The 26,837-nt window shown below is 42.8% G+C and overlaps 1 protein-coding gene and 3 pseudogenes across 5 annotated transcripts in view, besides 1 other annotated feature; 1 reads left to right on the forward strand and 3 right to left on the reverse strand.

The window, feature by feature from the left end:
• The window catches only part of AGAP5 (ArfGAP with GTPase domain, ankyrin repeat and PH domain 5), a 23,815-nt gene extending 10,854 nt beyond the window's left edge, over positions 1–12,961 (reverse strand). The window contains exons 1-4 of the mRNA NM_001144000.4: positions 12,385–12,961; positions 11,947–12,015; positions 9,588–9,656; positions 6,895–6,929 (exon numbers count right to left, since the gene is read on the reverse strand). Coding sequence (NP_001137472.1) covers positions 6,895–6,929; positions 9,588–9,656; positions 11,947–12,015; positions 12,385–12,607 — 396 coding nt within the window. The 5' untranslated portion in view covers positions 12,608–12,961. The remainder of the gene's footprint in view (positions 1–6,894; positions 6,930–9,587; positions 9,657–11,946; positions 12,016–12,384) is intronic.
• Positions 1–26,837, reverse strand: part of BMS1P4-AGAP5 (BMS1P4-AGAP5 readthrough) — a 56,232-nt pseudogene that overhangs the window by 10,874 nt on the left and 18,521 nt on the right. For 2 of the 3 annotated variants that reach the window (NR_160425.1, NR_160427.1), the window contains 5 exons: positions 19,838–19,930; positions 12,385–12,572; positions 11,947–12,015; positions 9,588–9,656; positions 6,895–6,929 (listed from right to left, as the gene is read on the reverse strand). The product of NR_160425.1 is annotated as a BMS1P4-AGAP5 readthrough, transcript variant 1 (transcript). Of the gene's footprint in view, positions 1–6,894; positions 6,930–9,587; positions 9,657–11,946; positions 12,016–12,384; positions 12,573–18,708; positions 19,517–19,837; positions 19,931–26,837 lie in introns of all 3 variants that reach the window. The other variant, NR_160426.1, reaches the window with a different exon arrangement.
• Positions 14,003–26,837, reverse strand: part of BMS1P4 (BMS1 pseudogene 4) — a 31,364-nt pseudogene continuing 18,529 nt past the window's right edge. The window contains exons 11-12 of the transcript NR_026592.2: positions 19,838–19,930; positions 14,003–14,440 (exon numbers count right to left, since the gene is read on the reverse strand). The product of NR_026592.2 is annotated as a BMS1 pseudogene 4 (transcript). The remainder of the gene's footprint in view (positions 14,441–19,837; positions 19,931–26,837) is intronic.
• Positions 21,342–21,465, forward strand: RNA5SP320 (RNA, 5S ribosomal pseudogene 320; annotated as a pseudogene).
• Positions 23,114–23,367: a silencer, noted in NCBI's record as "fragment chr10:75468020-75468273 (GRCh37/hg19 assembly coordinates)". NCBI's record gives its function as "represses an EF-1alpha promoter that drives an FKBP-Casp9 reporter gene in an ReSE screen in phorbol 12-myristate 13-acetate-treated (for megakaryocytic differentiation) K562 erythroleukemia cells {active_cell/tissue: K562(+PMA)}" and the evidence as "EXISTENCE:reporter gene assay evidence [ECO:0000049][PMID:32094911]".

A 26,837-nucleotide genomic window follows, 5' to 3' on the forward strand; every position in this document is an offset into this window, starting at 1 on the left:
ACTGATCTGCATGCCTTTTATTGTTTTCTCTTGTGTGATTGCTCTGGCTAGGCCTTCCAGTAGTATGTTGAATACAAGTGGTGAGAGTGGGCATCCTTGTCTTGTTCCAGTTCTCGGGGGGAATGCTTTCAACTTTTCCCCCTTTCAGTATTATGTTGGTTGTGGGTTTGTCATAGATGGCTTTTATTACATTGAGCTATGACCCTTGTATGCTGATTTTGCTGAGGGTTTTAATCATAAAAGGATGCTGCATTTTGTCAAATGCTTTCTCTGCATCTGTTAAGATGATCATGTGATTTTTTGTTTTTAATTCTGTTTATGTGGTGTATCACATTTATTGACTTGTGTATGTTAATCCATCCCTGCATCCCTGGTATGAAACCCATTTGATCATGGTGGATTATCTTTTTTTTTTTTTTTGAGATGGAGTCTCGCTCTGTTGCCCAGGCTGGAGTATGCAGTGTGGTGATCTTGGCTCACTGCAACCTCTGCCTCCGAGGTTCAAGCGATTCTCCTGCCTCAGCCACCAGAGTAGATGGGATTACAGGTGAGCACCACCACGCCCGGCTAACTTTTGTATTTTTAGTAGAGATGGGGTTTCACCATGTTGGCCTGGCTGGTCTCGAACTCCTGACCTCATGATCCGTCCGCCTTAGCCTCCCAAAGTGCTGGGATTACAGGTGTGAGCCACCGTGCCTGGCCAGATTATCTTTTTGATATGCCGTTGGGAACTACAAAACATTGCTGAATGAAGTCATGGACACAAACAAATGGAAAGACACCCCATGCTCATGAATGGGTAGAATGAATATTGTGAAAATGACCATACTGCCAAAAGCAATCTATAAATTCAATGCAACTCCCATCAAAATACCACCATCCTTCTTCACAGAACTAGAAAAAACAATCCTGAAATTTATATGGACCAAACAAGAACTGGCATAGCCAAAACAAAACTAAGCAAAAACAACAAATCTGGAGGCATGACATTACCTGATTTCAAACTATACTATAAGGCCATAGTCGCCAAAATAGCACGGTACTGATATAAAAATAGGCACATACACCAATGGAACAGAATAGAGAACCTAGAAATAAACTCAAATACCTATAGCCAACTGATTTTCAACAAAGCCACCTAAAACATAAAGTGAAGAAAGTAAACCCTATTCAACAAATGGTGCTGGGATAATTGGCAAGCCACATGCGGGAGAATGAAACTGGATCCTCAACTCTCATCTTACACAAAAATCAACTCAAGATGGATCAAGGACATAAATCTATGACCTGAAACCATAAAAGTTCTAGAAGATAACATTGGAAAAACCCGTCTAGACACTGGCTTAGGCAAAGACTTCATGACCAAGAACACAAAAGCAAATGCAACAGAAACAAATAGGTGAGACTCAACTAAAGAGCTTCTGCACAGGAAGAGGAACAATCAGCAGAGTATACAGACAACCACAGAGTGGGAGGAAATCTTCACAGTCTATACATCTGACAAAGGGCTATTATCCAGAATCTATGAGGAACTCAAACAAATTACAATTACAAAAATATGGAACCAGCCCAAATGCCCATCAATCAATGAGCGGATAAAGAAACTGTGATATACATACATATATATATATGAGGAATACCACCTCAGCCATAATAAGGAATAAATTAATGGCATTCCCAGCAACCTCGATGGAAGTAAGACTATTATTCTAAGTGAAATAACTCGGCATGGAAAACCAAATATCATGTTCTCTTTCAGATGTGGGAGCTAAGCTATGAGGATGCAAAGCCATAAGAATGATACAATGGACTTTGGGGACTTGGGGGAAAGGCTGGGAGGAGGGTGAGGGATAAAAGACTACAAATTGGGTTCAGCGGATACTGCTCAGGTGATGGGTGCACCTAAATCTCACAAATCATCACTAAAGAACTTAGTCATGTCACCAAATGCCACCTGTTCCCCCAGAAACCTATGGAAATAATAAATAAATAAATAAAGTACAGCATTTTTCTCAGCAAACATAAAATAAAACAAAGACTAAAGTTTATATTTTTCACTCTCCTTTTGGGCAGGACAAATTTTATATATGTTTTTAAAGAATTAGTAACTTTTTTCCTTTTTCCGAGACAGGGTCTCCCTTTGTTGCCCAGGCTGGAGTGCAGTGGTGCAATTATAGTTAACTGCAGCCTCAAACTCCTGAGCTCAAGCGATCCTCTGCCTCAGCCTCCTGAGTAGGTAATATGAAAGGCGCATACCACCAGGCCTGGCTAATTTGTTATTTAACCTTTTTGTAGACATGAGGTCTTGCTATGTTGACCAGGCTAAAAATGAACAAATCTTAATTAACTTAAATATTTCTAACACTTTGGGCATTCAGGAAAACAGCTCCATATATGTTGTGAAGTAATGGGAAGTATATGGCAGTGGATAAACTTTGAATGAAAATATTAAACAAGGCCTTAGGAGAAAAGTGTAATATGCTTATTATACATACATTAATTTAAAAAGTTCTCTGCCTTAATATCATTAATTATACTCAAATTAGACTTTGATTTAAACATAGGTCCTAAATTTGGATTAAATATAATAGATTGACCACAAATTTATTTCATCTCCCTCCGGAAACCTCATTAGTCATAAAATAAAGGTTACACCCATGACCAGCACAGAAGGTTGACAGAGATAATTTTTAATAAATGCTGAGACATAAAAGTAGATAAAGGAGTGGTAAATAACACAGAAACACAACTTTGGTGCCTACAGAAAGTGACTGGAACAGAAGCAAGCCAGTTTGTCTTGCAGAACTAAAGGCAGGTTGTGAACTTACAGGCAAATGGCACTTTGGAAAGCAGGGTAAAATGTAAAAAAAAAAAGCCAGCAAGGTCAGTTGCAAATCTCTAACTAGAGCCTCAAGTCCACCTGTCCTTCCATCTGACAAGAAACTTAGATGTGTGTTCTCTGGATATATCAAACCTGAGAATTTCTGGCTCAGAGACACCATGGCTTAAACCTGAGATATAAAGAAAACTGTACACCAAAAATGGAACTCCAACTTTCTGCGCTAACTCTGCTTTTACTTTCCAGGCCTGCTTTTACTTTCCAGGCAGAAAATTGGGAGATCCTTCTCAGAAGAAACTGAAATGTCTTCAATAAAGATCCCCAAATAATACACTGAGGTCTCCCAAATGAAAAGCTAGTCAGGCTTCTAAGGCCTCACACTGAGTGCTATCAGTTAACAGAAATCCTGCTTCCAAATAAAGCAGGCCAGGGACCACCACACATTGGAGGGAAGCCTCCAAGAAAAGAGATCAAAACAATAGAAAAAAGGAATTGATAGGACCAGTCAAAATCAGGAGCAAAACTTAAAAAAAAAACCTTAAAACACTCTCAAAAAATATAAAATTCAATAGAAATAGTAGAGGATAAAGTCACAGAATATCCCAGAACTAGAATAAAAAGACAAACTGAAAAAAATAGAAGGGGAAAAATTAAAAATCAATGCAGGTGTACTGGTCTAAGCAGCCTAGCATCTGAATAACAAGACTATCAGTAAAAAAGTAACAGAGAAAATAAAAAAAAATTCTCAAGAAGAGATAGTCTGCAGGTTTAGTAGCCTCAATAAAATGAAAAGATCCCCAACAAGCTGTTATAAAATTTCAGAACCTTAGAGAGAGAGATTCTAAAAAGCTTCCGCAGATAACTAAAACCTGGTTGTAAATAACGTATCACACACTGGCAATAGATTCAAGAACAACACTGTAATAAGAGCACAACTGCCTCTGCCTCTGCCTCCTCTGCCTCCTCTGTCTCCTCTGCCTCTGCTGCCTCTGCCTCTGCCGCCTCCGCCTCCGCCTCCGCCTCTCCCCACAGTCTCCCTCTGATGCCCAGCCGAAGCTGGACCGTACTGCTGCCATCTCGGCTCACTGCAACCTCCCTGCCTGATTCTCCTGCTTCAGCCTGCCGAGTGCCTGCGATTGCAGGCGCGCGCCGCCACGCCTGACTGGTGTTCGTATTTTTTTGGTGGAGACGGGGTTTCGCTCTGTTGGCCGGGCTGGTCTCCAGCTCCTAACTGAGAGTGATCCGCCAGCCTCGGCCTCCCGAGGTGCCGGGATTGCAGACGGAGTCTCGTTCACTCAGTGCTCAATGGTGCCCAGGCTGGAGTGCAGTGGCGTGATCTCGGCTCGCTACAACCTCCACCTTCCAGCAGCCTGCCTTGGCCTCCCAAAGTGCTGAGATTGCAGCCTCTGCCCAGCCGCCACCCCGTCTGGGAAGTGAGGAGCGTCTCTGCCTGGCCGCCCCATCGTCTGGGATGTGAGGAGCCCCTCTGCCTGGCTGCCCAGTCTGGAAAGTGAGGAGCGTCTCTGCCCGGCCGCCATCCCAACTAGGAAGTGAGGAGCGCCTCTTCCCGGCCGCCATCCCATCTAGGAAGTGAGGAGAGTCTCTGCCCGGCCACCCATCATCTGAGATGTGGGGAGCGCCTCTGCCCTGCCGCCCCGTCCAGGATGTGAGGAGCGTCTCTGCCCGGCCGCCCCGTCTGAGAAGTGAGGAGACCCTCTGCCTGGCAACCGCCCCGTCTGAGAAGTGAGGAGCCCCTCCGCCTGGCAGCGCCCCCGTCTGAGAAGTGAGGAGCCCCTCCGCCCGGCAGCCACCCTGTCTGGGAAGTGAGGAGCGTCTCCGCCTGGCAGCCACCCCATCCAGGAGGGAGGTGGGGGGGGTCAGCCCCCCGCCCGGCCAGCCGCCCCGTCCGGGAGGTGAGGGGCGCCTCTGCCCGGCCGCCCCTACTGGGAAGTGAGGAGCCCCTCTGCCCGGCCAGCCGCCCCGTCTGGGAGGGAGGTGGGGGGTCAGCCCCCCGCCTGGCCAGCCGCCCTGTCCGGGAGGTGAGGGGCCCCTCTGCCTGGCCGCCCCTACTGGGAAGTGAGGAGCCCCTCTTCCCGGCCACCACCCCGTCTGGGAGGTGTACCCATCAGCTCATTGAGAACGGGCCATGATGACAATGGCGGTTTTGTGGAATAGAAAGTGGGGAAAGGTAGGGAAAAGATTGAGAAATCGGATGGTTGCCGTGTCTGTGTAGAAAGAGGTAGACATGGGAGACTTTTCATTTTGTTCTGTACTAAGAAAAGTTCTTCTGCCTTGGGATCCTGTTGATCTGTGACCTTACCCCCAACCCTGTGCTCTCTGAAACATGTGCTGTATCCACTCAGGGTTGAATGGATTAAGGGCGGTGCCAAGATGTGCTTTGTTAAACAGATGCTTGAAGGCAGCATGCTCCTTAAGAGTCATCACCACTCCCTAATCTGAAGTACCCAGGGACACAAACACTGCGGAAGGCCGCAGGGTCCTCTGCCTAGGAAAACCAGAGACCTTTGTTCACTTGTTTATCTGCTGACCTTCCCTCCACTATTGTCCTGTGACCCTGCCAAATCCCCCTCTGCGAGAAACACCCAAGAATGATCAATTAAAAAAAAAAAAAAAAAAAGAGCACAACTGCAAAATGTCTTCAGAACCATAAAATTTAGATTCAACCTAGAGGTGTACTCTCTATCAAAGAGGAGGGATTTTAACATCTCCACCCAGGAAAATGTGTTCAAGTACAACTAGAGACCATAACAGGACAGAAGGAAACACAGAATCTAGGACACAGGCGATCCCACACAAGACAGCAGTTACGTGAGATCCCAAAAGACTTTAAGGAGTTAGCCCAGAAAAGCAGACATCAAGCATATCTAGGGAAACCCACGCTATATTGAACTAGGATGACAAAAGGCCAAAGAAAGTTGCCCCCCAAACAAACATAAAAAGCAACAGGTGTGTTTTCGCAGATGGAAAATATCTTTGAAAGGCATGTGATAAATGCTACAATACTTGGGGGAAAAACAGCTGTTAGAAAACAGGCAAATGAATATAGTCAGAAAATTAGCTTCATGCTAAAAAATAATGGATGTGAAAGCAAACAGAGCACCCAGAGGCTACTTAACGATATTTGGATAGATAAACTAACGTAGGCTAGGAAAAAAGAAGATCCAGAAGAATTGCAGAAGTGCTCAGATTTCAGAACTGTTTCAGAGACAGGATGAAGGACATGTAATGCAGAGGCACAGTGAAAACACCATATGACTTAGCAGTGAATAATATTTGCAGAGTCATAATCATGTAAATATTACTGATTTAATTAAAAAGTGTGCTACAATTGGAAGAAACACAGGGAGAAACATAAGATCATGGTGTAGCGGGGAAGGTATGCTTTTACCTGCTGTGATAGAAAGTCAATAGACAGTGCTGGCAATTAACTTAGCTATTCTATTTTTGTTCTTTCATTAAAAATAAGATTAAATATTTAAGGCACTTTTTTTTTTTTTTTTTTGAGACGGAGTTTCGCTCTGTTGCCCAGGCTGGAGTGCAATGGCGCGATCTTGGCTCACTGCAACCTCCGCCTCCTGGGTTCAAGTGATTCTCCTGCCTCAGCCTCCTGAACAGCTGAGATTACAGGCATGCACCACCACGCCCGGCTACTTTTGTATTTTTAGTAGATACAGAATTTCACCATGTTGGTCAGGGTCGTCTCAAACTCCTGACCTCAGATGATCAGCCTGCCTCGGCCTCCTAAAGTGCTGTGATTATAGACGTTAGCCACCATGCCCAGCCTTAAGGCAGATCTTTTGAACCAGACTATTGAAATTTAACTTAAATGTCAGAAATCTTTAAAAGGTGGACACGCTAAGCTAAACACTTTTCTGGATAAATTTAATACTCAGGAAAATAGAAGAGATTTAGAAAATCCACAAAAAGAGGTCCATGCTACCACCACCAGGTCCACATTGTAATTTAAAGAAATCAAGAGAGACATCCTTTTATGTCAAACTATCAATTTCTTAACTATTTGAGTGTTTACTTACATGGTTTGTACAGTTGCTTCTTCTTATTTCTACAACTAAGAATAAAAAAAAAAACTGGTCACTTCTGATACAAATACCATAAAATAAAAGTAGTTGTTAACATCTTACTGATTACTCCTATGTAAAATGAGACAAAATTCCATTTAAAAAAATAATTTTCAATAATTTATAATTTAAATTATCTGGCATGATTAATTTCATAAGTCAAATCTAAAAACTTAGTTTTTCATTTAGTTTACTTTTTGTTTCTATTACATACAAATGAAAGAATCCTCATGTACAAAAGAAAAGGGCAAAAAAATTAGGCCAGATGAAAAATTTAGCTAATAAAAAGTTTAACTGTTGCATATATGAGCCATGATCCATTAGTATTCTCTAATTCTGCATTTACACATAGCTTACTTTAATTATCAGACTCTAAGAGCTAACAACTCTAACAACTACTTCCTGACCAGACACCTATCTCTAGATGCAACATAATCCCTGTAAGCATCTTGAACCACACTTAGTGGTTATCTACTAATATGTCACTAAAAACAAAACAAAATTAAAAAACGGTCTTTACACAACTGGAAAGTAACCTATCTTAAATTTTTTTTTTTTTTTTTTTTTTTTTTTGAGATAGAGTCTCACTCTGTCACCTAGGCTCGAGTGCAGTGGCGGGATCTCAGCTCACTGCAACCTCTGCCTCCTAGGTTCAAGCAATTCTTCAGCCTTAGCCTCCTGACTAGCTGGGACTACAGGCACGTGCCACCATGCCTAGCTAATTTTTTTTTGTATTTTTAGTAGAGACAGGGTTACACTGTGTTAGCCAGGATGGTCTTGATCTCCTAACCTCGTGATCCACCCACCTCAGCCTCCCAAAGAGCTGGGATTACAGGTGTAAGCCACAGAGCCTGGCCTAAATTTTGATGTTAAAATGAGTATACAAACCTAATTGGACATGGTGTCTGCAGCACAAAAAATCATTTTTTTTCCCTAAAAAGAGGCCAGAATAATAAAAGCCCCAAGAGGGACTTGGGCCATGCTTTGTTTCCCACACTGCCTCTGCCTTTGATGCTGGAAGGGCCTTGTAGGCAAAAGTTCCTACCACTGAAGAGTGAGGGACATGGAATAGCTTTTCTTTTACTGCTTCCATGCTCTCTAGGTGTGAGAAGCCCATGGCTCCGGAAGGAACTGGGAAATACAATTCTCATATGTTTTGGATATGTTGCCCCTCCAAGTCTCATGTTAACATGTGACCCTTAATGTTGGAGATAGGGCCTAGTGGGAGGTGTTTGGGTAATGGCAGTGGATTCCTTATGAATGGCTTGGTCCCATCCCCATGGTAAAAAGCAAATTCTTATTATGGTAATTTAAAAGACTGTGGTACTGGCCAGGTGCGGTGGCTGAAGCCTGTAATGCTAGCACTTTGGGAGGCTGAAGCGGGTAGATCACTTGAGGTCAGGAGTTTCAGACCAGCCTGGCCAACATGGGTGAAACCCTGTCTCTACCAAAAATACAGAAATTAGCCAGGTGTTATTGTGCCCACCTATAGTCCCAACTACTCGGGAGGCTGAGGCAGGAGAATTGCTTGAACCTGGGAGATGGAGGTTGTAGTGAGCCAAGATCATGCCACTGCACTCCAGCCTGGGCAACAGAGTGAGACTCCATTTCAAAAAAAAAAAAAAAAAGAGTGTGGTACCTTCCCCCTTCCCCTCTCTCCTCCCTCTTTCACTGTGTGGAACCACCTGCTTCCCCTTTGCCTTTTATCATGATTGTAAGTTTGCTGAGGCCCTCACCAGAAGTAGGTGTTAAAGCCATGTTTGTACAGCCTGAAAATCTTTGAGCCAATTAAACCTCTTTTTGTTATAAATTACCCAGCCTTAGGTATCTCTTTATAGTAATGTAAAAAATGAAGACAAATTCTAACCAGAAATAACTGACTCAAGATGGGCAAAGTCTACTCAAACTATAAAAACAAAGGTTACAAACTCCCGTGTTTTACTGTGCTGCATTACTTCGCATATTATTATAGAACCCTCACTTGTATTCTTGCTGTTTAAGTCAACTGGAAAACTTGGCTGTGTATGGCTTGTTGGCAAATAAATGAGGATTTAACATAACATTAAGGGAAATAAGCAGGAGTAGGGCATGTTTAAATTTACATTACATCAAATGAAAAAGTTAATAACCTAAAACTTTTGAGTAGCATAAACTTGGATGTGGTAAATGAATGTGGTCAGAGGTCTGCGTAAGAGGAGGCCCAAATCACAGATTCAATCCCTGATGATAAACAACTATGTTTTTTAATTTGTTTAAATGAAAACCAAGCTGAAGCCTAAGTTCTATCATTCATCTTTAAAGTGTACTTTTTGGAGCAAGGGAAAAGGGATTATAAATAAAGATAAATCCATTAATTATAAATAAAGATAAATCCAAAAATTATAAAGAGAAATCCATGACTCCTCCATCACATGACAAATTAATTGTGTTGATAAAAAGATGGCAAAATGTATAAACAAAAAGGTTACACGTTTTCACTAACATCATAACAACTAAAGGAAAGTATATCACATATTAAAATAAGACAAGTGAACATGTGAAAGGGTGAAAAATTTAAACCAATATGAGTTTTTCTAAATACTTTCTATAACCTGATCAAACAAGAGCTTTTATTCTTTCTCTTGGCGGAAAAAACAATGTTGTCTCACCATCTGTTTGAGAGTTCCTCTGGAATATTGTGCTTGCCTCTGGATTGGCAGAAGGGTTAAACTCCAAAGCTATATGCATAGAGGAAGAAAAGAAAAAAAGATGTAATCATTGATAAAAATTTATCAACTCGTTTATTCAACTGCTGCATTTAGGCTATTTCACTATCTCTACTTTGATTCTTATACATTGAAATGAATGTATAGACATAAGATAGAGCCAGGCAAGATGGCACATGCTTGTAGTCCCAGCTACTCAGGAGGCTGAGATGGGAAAATCACTTGAACCCAGGTCAGGAAGTTGAGGCCAGCACGAGTAACACAATGACACCCTCCTTTATTTAAAAAAAAAAAAAAAATGAAGAGGTAAATTTTGGCTTTGAGTTGTGTAAAATCAACTTTGCATAAAATAAATCAAGATGGCAGTAAGTTTTAAAAGACAGGTCTATTTTACAGGCAAAATATAAGATGTATTCTAGAGTTTTTAAAATTTTTAAAAAGTAAATTCATCATATCTGTCACTTCCATTTCATTCTGAGGACACAGAACCTTAGTTCTCTTGAGTAGCTGTCTTCCATAGTCATGTGATATCTCTAAGTTTTCATTTCTTCATTAGCAATACATAGGGAGAACATACACAGGCCTTATTTGTATTGGAAAGGGCCAAGTGAGACTACATAAACTGTGTTGTAATCCTAAAGAATGACAATAAAGAGCCATTTTTGGGCTCTCATCCAACACTACCCATCTACTAACTGGTGTGTAACATCCATCAGGCTTTCCTAACATCACCAAGCAGAGTATAAGTTTACACAAGTACTTATGTGCTTTGTGTATAAAGGTACAATCAATTAATTCACATAATACATTTGTTTATTCTAAAGCAATCCTTAAATATCTTGAAATGTGAAGATAGTACTTCCAAGTTACAAAGTCACACTCATAATGAGTCTTAATTATCCTACCTCTTTAAAAATTAAGAGCCCAACCAAAGTTTAAATAGAAGAGCTATAAGACATTTCCTCTACAGTAATGAAATCTCTGGCATTTAAATGAAACCAATAAGCCAACTGGATTTAATATGTTTATGATGCAATGTTTTCTATTTTGAAAATTTCAGTTTTTATTCAAGAACCATATTATTACCCAGAATTACTTTTACTTAGATTCATCTCTTTGCAAAATTTTAGAGGCAAACCAACTAATTGTTTTCTCTTTTCTACCAGCTCCCATCCCCTGCCTCTGCCAGCAGTGTAGAGACTAAAAAACTCCAACTTTCTTTCCTTTTTTTTTTTTGTGAGACGGAGTCTCGCTCTGTCACCCAGGCTGGAGTGCATTGGCGTGATCTCTGCTCACTGCAACCTCCACCTCCCAGGTCCAGGCAATTCTCCTGCCTCAGCCTTGTGAGTAGGTGGAACTACAGTCATGCGCCACTACACCCAGCTAATTTTTGTATTTTTTTTTTAGTAGAGACAGCGTTTCACCATGTTGGCCAGGCTGGTCTCGAACTCCTGACCTCAGGTGATCTGCCTGCCACGGCCTCCCAAAGTGCTGGGATTACAGGCGTGAGCCACCAAGCCCAGCCAAAACTGTAACTTTCTTATCTTTGAACAAGATGCTATTGTCAGGAGGGGAAGGGACAAAGGGGGAGCCACGGCAACAAACACTCTTACAGGGAAGGTCTGACATTTTAACCTGCAATCTTTATATTACATATTAAAAGTCTACATTGACATTTCATGTCTTTTGAAAGTGTTGACCATGAACCAATCCCCACCTCTCTTTTAGAACAAGGAGGTAAATAAAGTCTGTTAAGTCACCAGCATAAATCTGGAGACACATTTTCTGTTAAAGTAAGAATTTTAAAGTAATCAGAGCCTCATAGGTAAACTCCTTTGAGAAACCCCAAACACACACACACAACCATTTTTCTGCAGCCCCGGCTGTGACATTTCACACCTTTCACAATTATTTTAAGCACTCTTTTTTCTTTTTCCTTCTGTGTTCAAATTACAGTTAGAAGAAACTAAGCAGCTTCTATCAAGGTGACTTAAAGCAGCCCATTAAGAATACCATATAGCCTCTCCCGTGGCAACCTCCATTCTGATTTTAAATAAGAAACCCCCAAATATTTGAATAGGAACTGTCCTGAGATTTGGCTACTTTAACAAAGGAAACAATTAGGCACTTACCTGGTTCCTTCACTTAGGTACCATCTGGATAGGTACAAAGAAAAAATAAGATGGGTACTGAAAAGTTGGGATATTTGAGTTTTTATTGAGAAAAGGAAGAGAATAGCTCAAAGAAGCCTAAACAAAGTCCCACAGGATAATAAACAGAGCTACAGACACTGTTGTCTCACCATCTGTTTGAGAGTTCCTCTGGAATATTGTGCTTGCCTCTGGATTGGCAGAAAGGCTAAACTCCAAAGCTATATGTATAGAGGGAGAAAAGAAAAAAGATGTAATCATTTATAAAAATTTATCAACTCATTTATTCAACTGCTGCTTATTTGACAAGAGCCATAAATAAATGGTCCCATGCCAGCCTGGGAGAATGAGATGAGAGAGCAAGAACTGGGCGATTGGGAGGGGAGGCGAAAAGAAACTGACTGGACTCGGTGAGGAAAGACTAAGGGGTGGGAATTCAAGGCAGAGCCAGCTTTTGTTCCTGGCCAGCCCCCGGGAAAGCTGGCTACAAGCAGAAAGGAGCTCAAAGTGGGGGATGCCGTAAAGGGAACCTTGGGGACAGCAGCAGCCAGAGGCAAACCGAGGGTAGATGGCACCTATCACCTCCTTACCTTCAGGCATCTCCTGGTCACGAATGTGGTGCATGTGGAGGTCCTCACCAACTTCAACGGTCACCTCAGCAGGCTGCACAGCAGCAGCCATGGGCGCTCCTGCCATCCTGTCCCCAGCTCCTGCCTCATAGATCTCAGATTCAGAGGGACACACCGACCCCTGTTGCTGGTCAAACTCGAGGCTGACGCTAGGGTGCACACAACAGGTCAGTATGTTCCCCATGGGGCGCCTCTACTGTCTGCCACCACCTGTGCCTCTGCTCACAGCTTTGGCCACACACTCCCACTGTCCTAGGCCGAGGCTATGCTGCACTTGCAGAGATGGTCTTCCCGCTCCTCGCCTGCCCACCTCACAGCGCGGCCCCGGGCACCATCCCTGGCCCCGGCCCCGGCCCCGGCTAGGGCTGCGGGTCAAGGCCCACACCCTGCTGCCTCCCCTGAGTTGACTTGTCTGGGAGGGTGAAGACCAGCTGGCTTATTTAATAGGTTGTGAACCCAACAAGCGCTGAGAGACACAACAACTGCCTGAAGAGAGAACAGACGGAGCTCCTCCTCCTTCTGTAGTCACCTACAGACTGAAGCCCACTGGCCCCAGGTGGGAGCCCAGGCATGTGGCACAGAATGCCCCACCCCACACTTCACAATGCCCTCCCCGACACCTCACAGTGCCCCACCCTGCCTGCCACCCCTCCCCAACAGCTCAGAATGCCCCTGCCTTGGCTGCCCCACCCTGTGGCTTATGATGCTGCTGCTCTCCTGGCCCCTCGTGCAGTGCCAGTGGGACTAAGGTTTTCATTCATCACCAACTTCCTGAGATTTTAGTCCTAAGAAAAGCACAGGGTAGTTCATTGCTTGAAGCCATCTTCCTCTATGAGTTCTATACAAAGCCTCAGTAGAGTGGGTCCCATTAGCAACCAAGTTGAACAACTTTTATTTGCTGACTGAATATAGATACACCTGAATTGTTGACTGCTTTTGTAACTAAACACTCCTCTCCTGTCTTCCAACGAGTGGTCATTTTTGTCCGCAACGTGACCACAGCAATCCCTGCGGCCCTAGCTCTACTCTCAATAAAGAGTTATGGCTGTGTGTTTTGAATGACACCTTAGGACCCATCCTGCCTCCACCTCCTTCTCCATAAAATAGAAACCTAACTTGTCCCTCCAAGCTCTGAAATGCTGAAACTTACCAACTCCCTTTTCTCCCCGCTATTTCTTCCTTCCATGGCAGGGACTTTCAGATTTTCTTTCTTTTACTAACAAGGCACTAAGCATGATTTTCTCATACAGAATCGAGAGCCATAAAGTGGCTTACCACAGTCCTATTTCAATAAAGATGAATACTTGACATCTGGCAAGTAGTGTGTGCCTGACAGTGTCCCCACTGTGCTATGCTCATTTAACCCTCAGAAACAATCTCATGTTACAGATTTTACAGAAGTTGTTGAGACGGAGAAGGTAAGTAACCTCCCCAAGGTCACATGACTGCTAAGGGTGGGGCCCTGGTTTGATCCCAGGTAGTCTGAATTCCCCAATTGCTTAAGCATGATTATCAGAAAGTATAGCAATCTGTTTTCACACTGATATAAAGAAATACCTGAGGTTGGGTAATTTTTAAAGGGAAGAGGTTTAATTGACTCAGTTTCACATGGCTGGGGAGGCCTCAGGAAACTTACAATCATGGCAGAAGGGCAGGTCCGACTTACATGGTGGCCGCACAGAGAGTGGCAACATGTGAAGGAGCAACTGTCAAACATGTATAAAACCATCAGATCTCAGCTGGGCATGGTGGCTCACACTTGTAACCCTAGTACTTTGGGAGGCCAAGGCAGGTGGATCAACTGAGGTCAGGAGTTTGAGACCAGCCTAGCTAATGTAGTGAAATCCTGTCTCTACTAAAAATACAAAAATTAGCTGGGTGTGGTGGTGCATGCCTGTAATCCCAGCTACTCAGGAGGCTGAGGCAGGAGAATTACTGGAACTCAAGAGGCAGAGACTGCAGTGAGCCAAGATCGTGCCATGGCACTCCTGCCTGGACAACAGAGCAAGACTCCATCCTAAAAAACAAAACAAAACAAAACCCTATAAGATCTCATGAGGACTTACTGAATATCACAAGAACAGCATGAGGATAACTGCCCCCGTGATCTGATCACCTCCCCCTAGGCCCCTCCCTCAACACATCAGGATTATGGGGATTATAATTCATGATGAGATTTGGGTGGGGACATGGCAAAACCACATCAGAAAGTAAAGGTAGAAGTCAAGCTTGGATGGGAAATGACATTGTAGATTATTATTATTATTATTATTATTTTGAGATGAAGTTTTGCTCTTGTTGCCCAGTGAAATTGTTTCTCTAATTTCATTTTCAGATTGTGTCTTGTAGATGTATAGAAATACAATTGATAAATGATTCTGGCTATTAACGTTTTATGCTTCAACCTTGCTGAACACTATTTTTTTTTTTTTTTTTTTTGAGACGGAGTTTCGCTCCTGTTGCCCAGGCTGGAGTGCAATGGCGTGATCTTGGCTCACTGCAACCTCCGCCTCCCGGGCTCAAGCGATTCTCCTGCGTCAGCCTCCCAAGTAGCTGGGATTGCAGGCATGCGTCACCATGCCCGGCTAATTTTGTATTTTTAGTAGAGACGGGGTTTCTCCATGTTGGTCATGGCCTGCCTCAGCCTCCCAAAGTGCTAGGACTACAGGCATGAGCCACCGTGCCCAGCCAGATTCGTATATTTTTAAAAGAATTTTTTTTACTTTTTTTTTTTTTTTTTTGAGACAGAGTCTCACTCTGTTGCCCAGGCAGTGGCACAATCATTGCCCACTGCAACCTCCACCTCCTGGGTCCAAGTGATTCTCATTCAAGTGCCTAAGCCTCCCAAGTAGCTGAGATTACAGGATCCCGCCCCCATGCTCAGCTAATGTTTGTATTTTTAGTAGAGATGGGGTTTCACCATGTTGCTCAGGTTGATCTCGAACTCCTGACCTCAGGTGATCCACCTGCCTTGGCCTCCCAAAGTGCTGGGATTGCAGGCATGAGCCACCACTCCCGAACAGAACAACATTTTTTTGATGTGGATTTTAAAATGCCTCCCCTTCTTTCAACATTGATTAAGTCCCTTCTACATGCCAGGCACTGTATGTGTGAAATAGTCCCAACTCTCAATGAGTGTAGGCAGATACACAAACAAAGGCTTAAGGAGGTCAGTTTTCTGAGACCATACTGCTGGATAGTATATGAACCTGGGATACAAATCCACCTCTATTTGACCTCAAATTTGATGCTGGGGTGGTTTTAATTTTATTCTGGGAATTTCAGTCATTGAACCATAAAAAGGTGAAAAGTCTCTGTCAGATGTGTGTGTAGTGGTCTGTATAATAAGGACTGAAGGAAGCAACCAAACCAATTAAGAGACTTTCTCTAAAGGCAGAGTAATGCTAAGGGCAGTGGCAGTGACAAAAGTGGAGGAAAAAATCTGTGATCATTTGGGAGACAGAATAGGAAGTGCTTGGTCATGAGATGTGAAAGAAGAGGGGAAGTAGAAGGAAAACAGAGCTGCTCAGGCTCTGCTGGGGAAGACTGGGTATGTAGCAGTGCCTTCCTCCTGGCCGAGAATGTAGGAAGAGAAATAGGTAAGGAGGAAAAGATAGTTTTTTACTCTCAGTGTCACATTAAAATGGAACTCTCTGGTCAAAAGTTGAATATAAATCTCTGTAGGCTAAGTCCATTTGTGACATCCCAACATATGTTTTCAAAAATAACATACTAAATCAAGCCATTAAGTGTAACTGGGGAAATTTCCTAAAATTTACATGCTAAAAAATCACCATTTTTCATTTATTAGTTTCATGGAGCAACTTTGAATCTATGGTTACAGCAAGTGAGACACCTTGTATAAAATAAAACTAATACATGAAAAAAAAACATTTAAAATTCTATTGTTCTCAGAGAATGGAGAAAGCAATTGAAGCCATGGGCGTGGAGGTGACTGCCTTGAGAAGTTGTGTATAGTAAGGAGAACTGGGAAGAAAGAAGACCTGGAGAATAGGGTGATTTACACGGCATTAAGTGAAGCTTGCAAAAGTGAGCACTGAGAATCAAGAGACCTGCGTATGAATCAGGAATGGCTGCTCCTATGAGTTGTTAGAAAGGAGATGATGCCTTCTTTTCATATCTATAACAGCAGCACCTAGCACAGTGCCTGTTCAAAGTAGTGAACTGGAGGTGAGAAAACAATCACACAAACTCAGGGCTTGTCTTCCCAAGTATTTGGCTGAGAAGAGAGATGTAGTATTAAAGGGAGATATGTGGTAAAGGAAGACTTTTATTCCAAGATTCAACAAAAGCGTGAGTATACTTCTATGTTAAAGGGAAAGAGCCAACAGAGAAAACACATTTTTGAGGTTAGAAGAGAAGGAAGAACTAATGCAGAAGGGCCCCAAAAGGCACAGGTGCATGCAATCCGGATCAGGGACAGATTAGCTTTGGACTCCTACAAAAGCAAGAAGGGAGAAAGGACCATGTGACTCTAGAGATATTTCTGGTAAAGGAAAGGTTTAGGAAAAGATCTTTTGATGACCTTTATTTTAACAGACTTTTTTTTTTTTTTTTTTTTTGAGATGGAGTCTTGCTCTGTCACCCAGGCTGGAGTGCAGTGGCACGATCTCGGCTCACTGCAACCTCTGCCTCCTGAGTTCATGTCATTCTCCTGCCTCAGCCTCCTGATTAGCTGGGACTACAGGCACCCGTTACCATGTCCGGCTAATTTTTTGTATTTTTAGTAGAGACGGGGTTTCACTGTGTTAGCCAGGATGTTCTCGGTCTCTTGACTTCGTGATCTGCCCACCTCGGCCTCCCAAAGTCTGGGATTACAGGCGTGAGCCACTGCACCCGGCTAGACTTTAAAAAAAAAAAAACTACTGTGGGAAAAAGGATATTATGTATAGAAAAGTCTACACTTCTTGATACAACTAACTAAAAAAAGCCTGATACACTAAACAAAACCCAAATAATGTCTTCCCTAAAAGTGGGTAACTTGAAAAGCAATTCAAGCAAAAATCAAGGAGTTCAATTATAAATATCAACAAAGTGAAAGATGGGTTTAATTTTTCCCACAAAAAGTTAAAAGAAATAACAGCAGCTTTAGAGGAAGAGGAAAAAATGAGAAAATTATATGCAGTTGCAAAATGTGTGAATATTTACAAACTCTAACATATAACTACAAAACGGACCAGAAGAATCATTATCATAGGAAGCAAAGGGTCATTTCAAAAATCAGAGGAGGGATGATTCATATTTAATTTAATTCTGTGGAAAAAATTTAAGTAACGTTTGAGGACAAAAATAGGTGATGTGTTGAAATGCGGGAAACCACAGTGGAAGGAAAAAGAATTCAAGAAAGCTCAGTTTCAGTAACCAGTATCCAGTAAAAATCCTCAGGACCTAGAGGCTACAATCTACATTAATAGTGTCTGAAGACCTAGAAATGTCATTAAATACCATTTTGGATAATTCTTGTAGACTTGAGATGATGTCTATTTAAAGTTACAAAATAGTGCCCATATTTCTGTATTCATTACAGAAAACAATTGGATATGGAAAAGAAACTAACATGCTATGCCACAATCTCTAAAGAAAGATTAGGGAAGTTTCAGCTTAAAGCAAGAATAATCACAATAAAGTTTTACAACCCTTTGCAAGCATATATGAAAAACATACAAAAAGTTTGTAATGATCTTTTCTTAAGCTAAGAGAACAGAAAAAATGAGAAAAATTAAATTATAAAATGAAACTTTGGTTTAGAGGTAAGAAACATTTGATGACAGTCAAGAGATCAGGGTTGTACAGTGTATTATGTGAATGTTGTGACTCATTGGTTTCATCTTGGATATCATAACTTGACATTTTGTAAAAGTGATTTTTCATGGGAGTTTTTTCAGGTGCCCTATAAAGTCCTGTCCCATGAGAAGCGAATAATAGTCTTCCACATTCTTGAGATATCTTAATGAATAGCATCTTCTACAGTCTTCCATTGTTTTGACCTTGGAGAGACACTCATTAGTGACTGTTAAGGTACCTGAGTTATTAGGTGCCTGTAGACTATGCCCAGTGATATGTGCATTAGGTACATGCTCCCTAGCTGTGCTGACACTGACTGAAGCTGTGAGGTTTCACAATGACATGTCAGCCAAATACATATGCTCAGATTTACCATTTATCAAGAGGTGTTCACACTATCAATTGTGCAATTATCATTCTACACACAGGAGTGATAAACGGAGTAAAAAACCACAGCCATGGATCGGGAGACCAAGGTACCTCCAGAGGAGTCCAGTGGGTCCAGAAGCCCTTTGGATGTTGGTCAGAGGCTCCTCTTGGGCAGAGATCACAGCAGCAGCCAACAGGTCTGGAGAAGTCCTTAGAGTTCTCATGGACAAAGTTTGTGAAGGCATCTTAGACAAGATCTTGTCTTTGCTGGTTTTATGATCCTCTGCAGATGGGTCTATTCTCATTATCTCAGCCACCTTTCACTTCCTATCAGTTCAGTTCAGGTCTCTCATGATCCCAGGCAGCAGTAGTTGTTATCATGTGAGTTCATTCATATATGTTTATCTCTTTGGGGATGGGGGGACAACTTCACTGTGGACTTAATTCTACTGGAGATGAGTGACCCCATTTTAAGACAATAGGATCACAAATTATTATCACATATCATCAGGGCAGACAATAGCTACAACCTGGGGCTGAAAGCAGGTAACTCCATTTATTCTGCAAACATTCTGTCTTGATTATGGTGCCAGTTGCTGTGAGGGATTTCCTTTCCACCACCTGTTTTTCACAAGGTTTGAGTCTGAACTGTTAACATTCTACTGATTTCTGGGTGAAGGGACTGACTGCACCATCCTAGCCTGTCAGAGCACTTGCCCCAATACTTCCACTTTAAGAGTTTTCCACCTTGTCCAGAACTACAGTCCATTAATCCCCTCATTTTCTCTCTTAAGAGAATAAACAGGCCAGGTGCGGTGGCTCACGCCTGTAATCCCAGCACTTTGGGAGGCTGAGGCGGGTGGATCATCTGAGGTCAGGAGTTCGAGACCAGCTTTGCCTACATAGTGAAACCTCGTCTCTACTAAAAAAAAAATCACAAAAATTAGCAGGGCGTGGTGGCAGGCACCTGTAACCCCAGCTACTTGGGAGGCTGAGGCAGGAGAATCCCTTGAACCCGGCAGGCGGAGGTTGCAGTGAGCCAAGACTGTGCCACAGAACTCCAGCCTGGGTGACAGAGTGAGACTCCCTCTCAAAAAAAAAAAAAAAAAAAAGAGAGAGAGAGAACAACCCATGTCAAGTACACACCCACATCCCTCTTATCCCAAATACCAAACACACAAAAATCCAATCTGTCTCCTTCTACCTAAGCAATTGTAGATAGTCACTTTCCCATAATTACCTTAAGCTCCCTGACTTGCTGCTCGTCCTTTCTCTGGCAAAATCTCATCCTTGGATGAGCCCGACTTCGTGTTTGCTCAATGACACCACTCACCTGAACCAGAAAAAAATATCAAAAAGTGGTCAGAGATATCATCATAAATTCAAATTATTTACATAAAAAATTGGCCCTAAATGTTTCCAGAAATCAATAAAAGTTTTGTTTCTCCAAAGACATCATTTCTTCAGAAACCCAACGTGTATAACCTATTTTTTCTATGTTCTTCTAACATTTATTCAACTTCTCTCATCTGATATCTTGCCAAATCATTCAAAGAGAAAATATATCCCATTAGGCAAGAGCCGACCATATTCCCATCACCTGAGAAAATCATATGCACAGGATGCGCCCACCTCACCTTTCTCTGCCTCATCATGTCAGAAAAAGTACCCCTCCATTTGTCACAAGGCAAATCTGAGATAAAAGATTTAGATGGCCTGTAATTCCAGCACTTGGGGAGGCCAATGCAGGCAGATTATTTGAGTCTAAGAGTTCAAAAGAAGCCTAAGCAACTTAGGGAAACTGCATCTCTCAAAAAAATACAAACCATTAGCCTAGCATGGTGGTGTGCTGGCACATGCTTGTAGTCCCAGCTACTCAGGGTGGGGAGCACTGAGGTGGGAGGATCACCTGAGCTGGAAGGTTGTGGCTGCAGTGAGCCATGATCACGTCACTGCACTCCAGCCAGGGCAACAGATATTTTTAAAAGGCTCTTCTCTTTTAAAAATAATCAAATAAACAGGTGGCCATGAGGCTGAGGTGGCTGCAGTGCACTCAATTCCTCCTTAAATAAACCAAAACTTGACTCAGTGTAAATAATAAAAGGAAACTTAAGCTTAACCAGTCAGAAACCACCAACTAATATCTAACTAGAGACTTTCCACTGTAATGTTCCAAATGAGGCCACTGCTCCACTTTACCCAATCAAGTATTTTTTCTTCCACATTCACCATATAAAATTCTTCCCCCACCCTCCCTAAGCCTCTCTGTTGGAACTCTGAGCTGCTTGCAGTCTGGAGCTGCCTAGTTTATACATTTCTGAATGCTCAAATATATTTTCTAATGTTTCAAAGTGGCTCTGGTGTAGGAGGTTGTTGGTGGAGTGACCTGAGAGTGTACAGGAATCGAGGCCATATGAGATCTCTGGACTCTGCACTCCATTTTGCTGTGCACTCAAAACTACTCTAAAATAATAATATATCTTTAAAAATCTATAACTATCACGTAGCCCTTTTCAAGTCTCCAACTGGTTGGAGCCAGTTCGATTAAAGCTCAGAAAAAACTGGTTAATAAGCTAGTTCTGACCCAACTGGCAAGAAGCGTTAGGAAAGACCAAGGCCAGGGGAGTATATTGCACATGCATGCACCAGGAAACTGGAGGAAGCTTGGAGGCCCTTCAGCCTGGTCCTGAGCCCGCTGAAACTGCAGTTACAGGCACAGATGCCTGGGGCACCAATCTGAATCTGCCAACATCCAAGGCCACATGAACACAAATGCGCAGAGTCTCCTCTGCGATCAGTAGCTAAGGATGTTAGGCCATGATTGGACTAGGATGGGAGATGAACTGAGAACTATAGATTCTGTAGGCTTTTGTTGTCTCTTCCCACCCCCAAGCAACAAGTGATGAACACACACACACACACACACACACACACACACACCCACACACACACCCTGTAGTGACTAACAGGATCTCCCTCCAGGGAATTTGCAGAAAGGGGAGCAGAAAACATCCCAGGGGCCTTTCACAGCTACTTCCTTGAGCCCCCTTTCAGACAGTGCTGTCTAGACCTGTCTCAGCCCAAGCATCACCACCCTGATATGCAGAAGCTGGCATCCTTACCTGAAGTTCAACATCAAGAAATGATCTCTTCTACTCAACACTGATAGAAATACCTCTAAGCAACATCCTCATTGGCAGGGGTGGAGTGGGGGAGTTTGTTAAGAAGTGAGGCCTCTGTCTACCACCTAGACAACCTGGAAATTTCCATCTATGCCACAAAGTCCAAATCACTGGCCACTGCCCCAGTGTATGGCAGATTAGAACATCTCTCCATCGGATCTGGGTTTCTATTCCATTGAGTGAAATGGCTTTTCTATTACAGGAACAGAATAAGGGATCAAAAGGGTCTTACAACTGAACTCCAGTGTACAGTCTGCACAGACACTAGGCTTGTGCAAATATGACGCAGCGAGGCCCCAGGACCCTTAAGCCAGCTGAATGTACTGAGTTTCAGGAAACAGTGAGATACATTCAGCAAAACAGTGGGCTTCATGCTGAAAGAAGTCAATCCAAGTAAACACACATCACACACACACACACACACACACACACACACACAGACACCCTAGTGGCCAATAGGTCCTCTCACCAAAAACCTGCGATCAGGAGAGCAGAAAGCCTCCCAGGGCTCCACCACTGCCCTTTCTGGAGCCCCTTATCAGACGGCCAGCCTCAGGACAGCACTGTCTGATCCTGGTCCAGCCCAAACCGCCATCACCCTGTGATGTGGGAGCAGGCCACTTCACCAGAACCTCTGTGGCAGAAAATTTCTCTTCCTTTTAAAATGATGAGGGGGAACCTTCAGACAGTGTCCTGATTAGGGTGGGTGGAGAGGGGGGTTTCCCAGAAAGTCAGGCAGGGCAGGGCAGAAGCCCTCTGGGTTAACTGTGTGCTTTTGATATGAAGGCAGGTAAGACTGGACAGGTGGGTGTGTTAGTGAGGGGATGGACTAGGGTGTGCTGAAGAACTCCACTTGGGCTCTGCACACCAGGGAAAAGGACCACAAAACATCCCATCTTCACTGCTCAGAGAAGGCTAGATCTGCTGTGAGCTAGAAAGCCATGTGGGGGCAGCTGATGAGTCATCAAATGGGAGAAATCTGAGAGCCATGTGTTCCACAGGCCTCTGGTCCTTGTTCAGGCAGCAGGGCACTGTGAGATGTGGCTCCTTGGCCCTTTCCAGCCACCACCTTGATTGCCTGCTGCAAGGAAAGAGACTGAAGCCCAAGAATGGGGTCTTGCTCACCATAGGATGATGGCTCAGTGTGCAGAGCTGAGCTATGGCCCAAGAGGCAGAAGGTGGGGATGACCCAGGCTGAGCTGGGGGATCCAACTGAACATGCACTTGCTAAGAAGCTGTGGGCTATCATGCCTTGGGACCCCAGTCTGGGTCTAGAATTGTAGCAAAACAGGCTACTGGGAAAAGTTCTTGGGAAGCCAACTCACTTTTGCTTTCATCCATGGGCAAACAAACCAACCCCCACCACTTCCCACTCCCTCTGAAAGCCACTTGGCCCTCTGATCGACCACACCACAATGGTGTCACTCTGTAAGGCACAGGTAGACAAGGCATCCAGCCATGCACACTCCAGGGCCCACACATGTCCAGAATACACTGGTTCTTGTTGAGACTCCACTCTTCCAGCTCAGACAGAAGCTCCCCAATCTCCTCAGCCACTCCCAACAACTGGAGGCCTGAAAACTTTCATGCATGCCGCTATGGTCTAAAGCACTTGTGGTGGTTTTGATTTTCATTTTCCTGATAATCAGTGATGCTGAGCACCTTTCCATATGCCTTTTCACCAACTGGATGTCTTCTTTGGCTAAATGTCTATTCAAATCCATTGCCCATTTACAAATCTGCTTTTTTGTGGGCTTCTTGACGTTTTTCTCTTTTTTTTTTCCTATTTATTTATACAAGTTCCTTAGGTATTTTGGATATTTTTAAAAATGATTTTCAATTCCACTGCCCAGTTATAAATCTTTTTTTTTTTTTTTTTTTTTTTGAGACAGAGTTTTGCTGTTGTTGCCCAGGCTGGAGTGCAATGGTGCAATCTTGGTTCACAGCAACCTCCACCTCCCAGAGTCAAGCAATTCTCCTGCCTCAGCCTCCTGAGAAGCTGGGATTACAGGCATGTGCCACCATGCCAGGCTAATTTTTGCATTTTTAGTAGAGGCAGGGTTTCTCCATGTTGGTCAGGCTGGTCTTGAACTCCTGGTCTCAGGTGATCTGTCCACCTTGGCCTCCCAAAGTGCTGGGATTACAGGCGTGAGCCACTGTGCCCGGCCAATTATCCCTTTCTGTGTTTTTTTTTTTTTTTTGGGGGTGGGGGGAAGAACAGAGTCTCGCTCTGTCACCCAGGCTGGAGTGCACTGGTGTGATCTCGGCTCACTGCAGCCTCCGCCTCCCAGGTTCCAGCAATTCTCCTGACTCAGTTTCCCGGGTAGCTAAGATTACGGGCGTGCAACACATGCCCAGCTAATTTTTGTATTTTTAGTAGAGACGGGGTTTCACCATGTTGGCCAAGCTGGTCTCAAACTCCTGACCTCAGGTGATCCACCCACCTCGATCTCCCAAAGTGTTGGGATTACAGGCGGGAGCCACCACTCCCGGCCCCATTTTGTGTTTTAACATCAGTCAACACTCGTATTTTAAAATAATAACAATGAATGGCGGTACCTTAGAACAAGGGAATTATACATCTTTCTCTTGTCCTAGTGCAGACATTTTGTCTATAAAATGTTATTCACAGATGAATTCATGAGAACTTTACTGTGAATTTTAAATCCATATACAAGTGTATGCTCGTTCATGAATATTTCAATAAAATAAAACTAACAGCAAAAAAGAATTCCAGAGTTGAAGCAGTTTCAGGAAAAAGGAGTTGGCAGTATAAAGTAAAATAGCAAAAAATGGGTTTTTTTTTAAATGGGTATATTTGTGTCTACAACTTTTTTTTAATTATAGCATTAGACAATGTGTATATATATATATACATATATAAAGCAATGGAAGTGGCATTGTTTTCATACTAGTCTAGAATATTAAAATATATGTAATATGTGATCAGCAAAATAACGGCCCCCCCCAAAGATGTCCACAGATTCCTAGAACCTTACATGAAAATGGTACATCATGCATGTGACTCAGGTAAAGACCTTCACATGAGGAGACTACCCTGGTGCTATGGAATGAACGTTGTGTTCCGTCAATGTTCATGTGTTAAAATCCTAACCCTCAAGGTGATGTATTAGGAGGTTAAGCCTTACATGAGACTCTGCCCTCATGACTGGGATTAGCACCTTATTAAAGGCACAAGGGAGCTTGTTTGTTCCTCTCCCCATGTGAAGACACAGCAAGAAGGAAGCCTCTATGAGAAAGCAGGCCTTCACCAGACACCAAGACTGCCGGCACCTTGATCTTGCACTTCTCAGCCTCCAGGACTGTGAGAAACAAAGTTCTATTGTTTATAAGCTACCTGGTCTAATGCATTTCCTTGTAGCAGCCTGTATGGATTACGACAGTGGGCTATGTGGATGATGACGGTGTCTCCATTCAGGACTAAGTAAGCACATGAGTCCTTAACAGTGGAAGAGAAGGGGGAAGGAAAGAGCCACAGAGACATGTGGCCATAGAAGACAGGTCCATGGGATGCAAGGTTGCTAATGGTGACAGTGGAGAAGAGCCCAAAGCCAAAAAATGCAGGCAGACTCCAGAATGTGGAAAAGGCGAGAAAAAAGATCCCCTAGAACCTCTAGAGATGAAGGTAGCCTTTCCACCACCTAGATTTTAGCCCAGTGAGATCCACATCATACTCTGACCTACAGGAGTGTAATAAATTTGTTTTATGCCCTGACATAGTGGTAGTTTGTTGTAGCAGCAATGGACTAGGAATATATAAATATATATACACACACACACAAACACTACCCCCCCACCACACACACACACACACACACACACACACATAACTATATATATCCTACCCTTCAAAATTGAAGCAGATAAACTACACATTAGCATTAACTTAGCTGGGTGTAGTGGCACATGCCTGTAGTCCCAGCTACTCAGGAGGCTGAGAGGGAGGATCATGTGAGCCCAGGAGTTTAAGATCAGCCTGGGCAAACACACTGAGGCCACATTTCGAAAACAAACAAACAAAAAAACACAACAAATCTTTGATTAAGTTCATTTCCCAAATTTGAAGAGGAGACAATTATTAGATAAAGAGGAGAAAAGAGAAAGGTAGAGCTGCTGACTTCTGTGGTGGAAGCAGAGGCACAGGCCCAAACATACTCCTGTCCTCCTGGCTTTCCTGTCCCTTCTCATAAGGGACACATGAACCTCTCAAACTGAACCATGGATCACAGACCCATACGCAGAACTCAATACAGTTTTGTTCTATGATTTTTTACATGTCTGTGTCCTTGTTTCTGCCTCCCATTCCCAACTCCCTTACTCTAGTTAGAAAAAAATGGCTATTACCAAATATGAGTACATCCTCATATACTAATGCCAACTGATCACCAGCTGGTTTTCTTCTTTTACAAAGTCATAAATCTTTAGACTTTAACACATCTTCCAAGAATAGAATGTTATTTTCCAGTTCATTAACACAAATTCTATATTTAAAATGAAGACTTCACAAGTTGATTTAAATAACATATTAACCAAAATAGACTGGCCATGGTTCAAACTGACATTTTAATTAAATGTGATGATAGGTTGAGTAACCTAGCAGTACTCTAAAATGACTTTTGGTTATGGCTTTTTCCATATTATGTTTAGGCTGAGGCATCCCTAAATGATTCAATTGTAATTCCTCTTCTTAAACATGAGATTTATCTTTACAAAATAATTTATTTTCTTAAAATTACAAGTTAATTCTATAGTTCATGCATACATAATCTCAGCAGATATTAGCTGTATGTGTACACACAAACATATAGGTATTTGTATATACACACATTACATAATTTTTTAAAAAACTTATTAGTAGGGTAGAACCACGAAGACAAAGAGGCTTTGTGTAATGTGATGGAAACACAATTGCAGGACGAACAACAGGCTGCTGTGAGGGCTGCATTTACCCTTTCTGCTGTAAGACTCGGAAAAACACGGATAGTGGATATTTAATCCGCATAACAGAAATTTCAGGGTGCAGAAAACTTCCCACAA

Source organism: Homo sapiens, chromosome 10 (assembly GCF_000001405.40).
Source record: "Homo sapiens chromosome 10, GRCh38.p14 Primary Assembly".
Classification (NCBI taxonomy): Eukaryota; Metazoa; Chordata; class Mammalia; order Primates; family Hominidae; genus Homo; species Homo sapiens.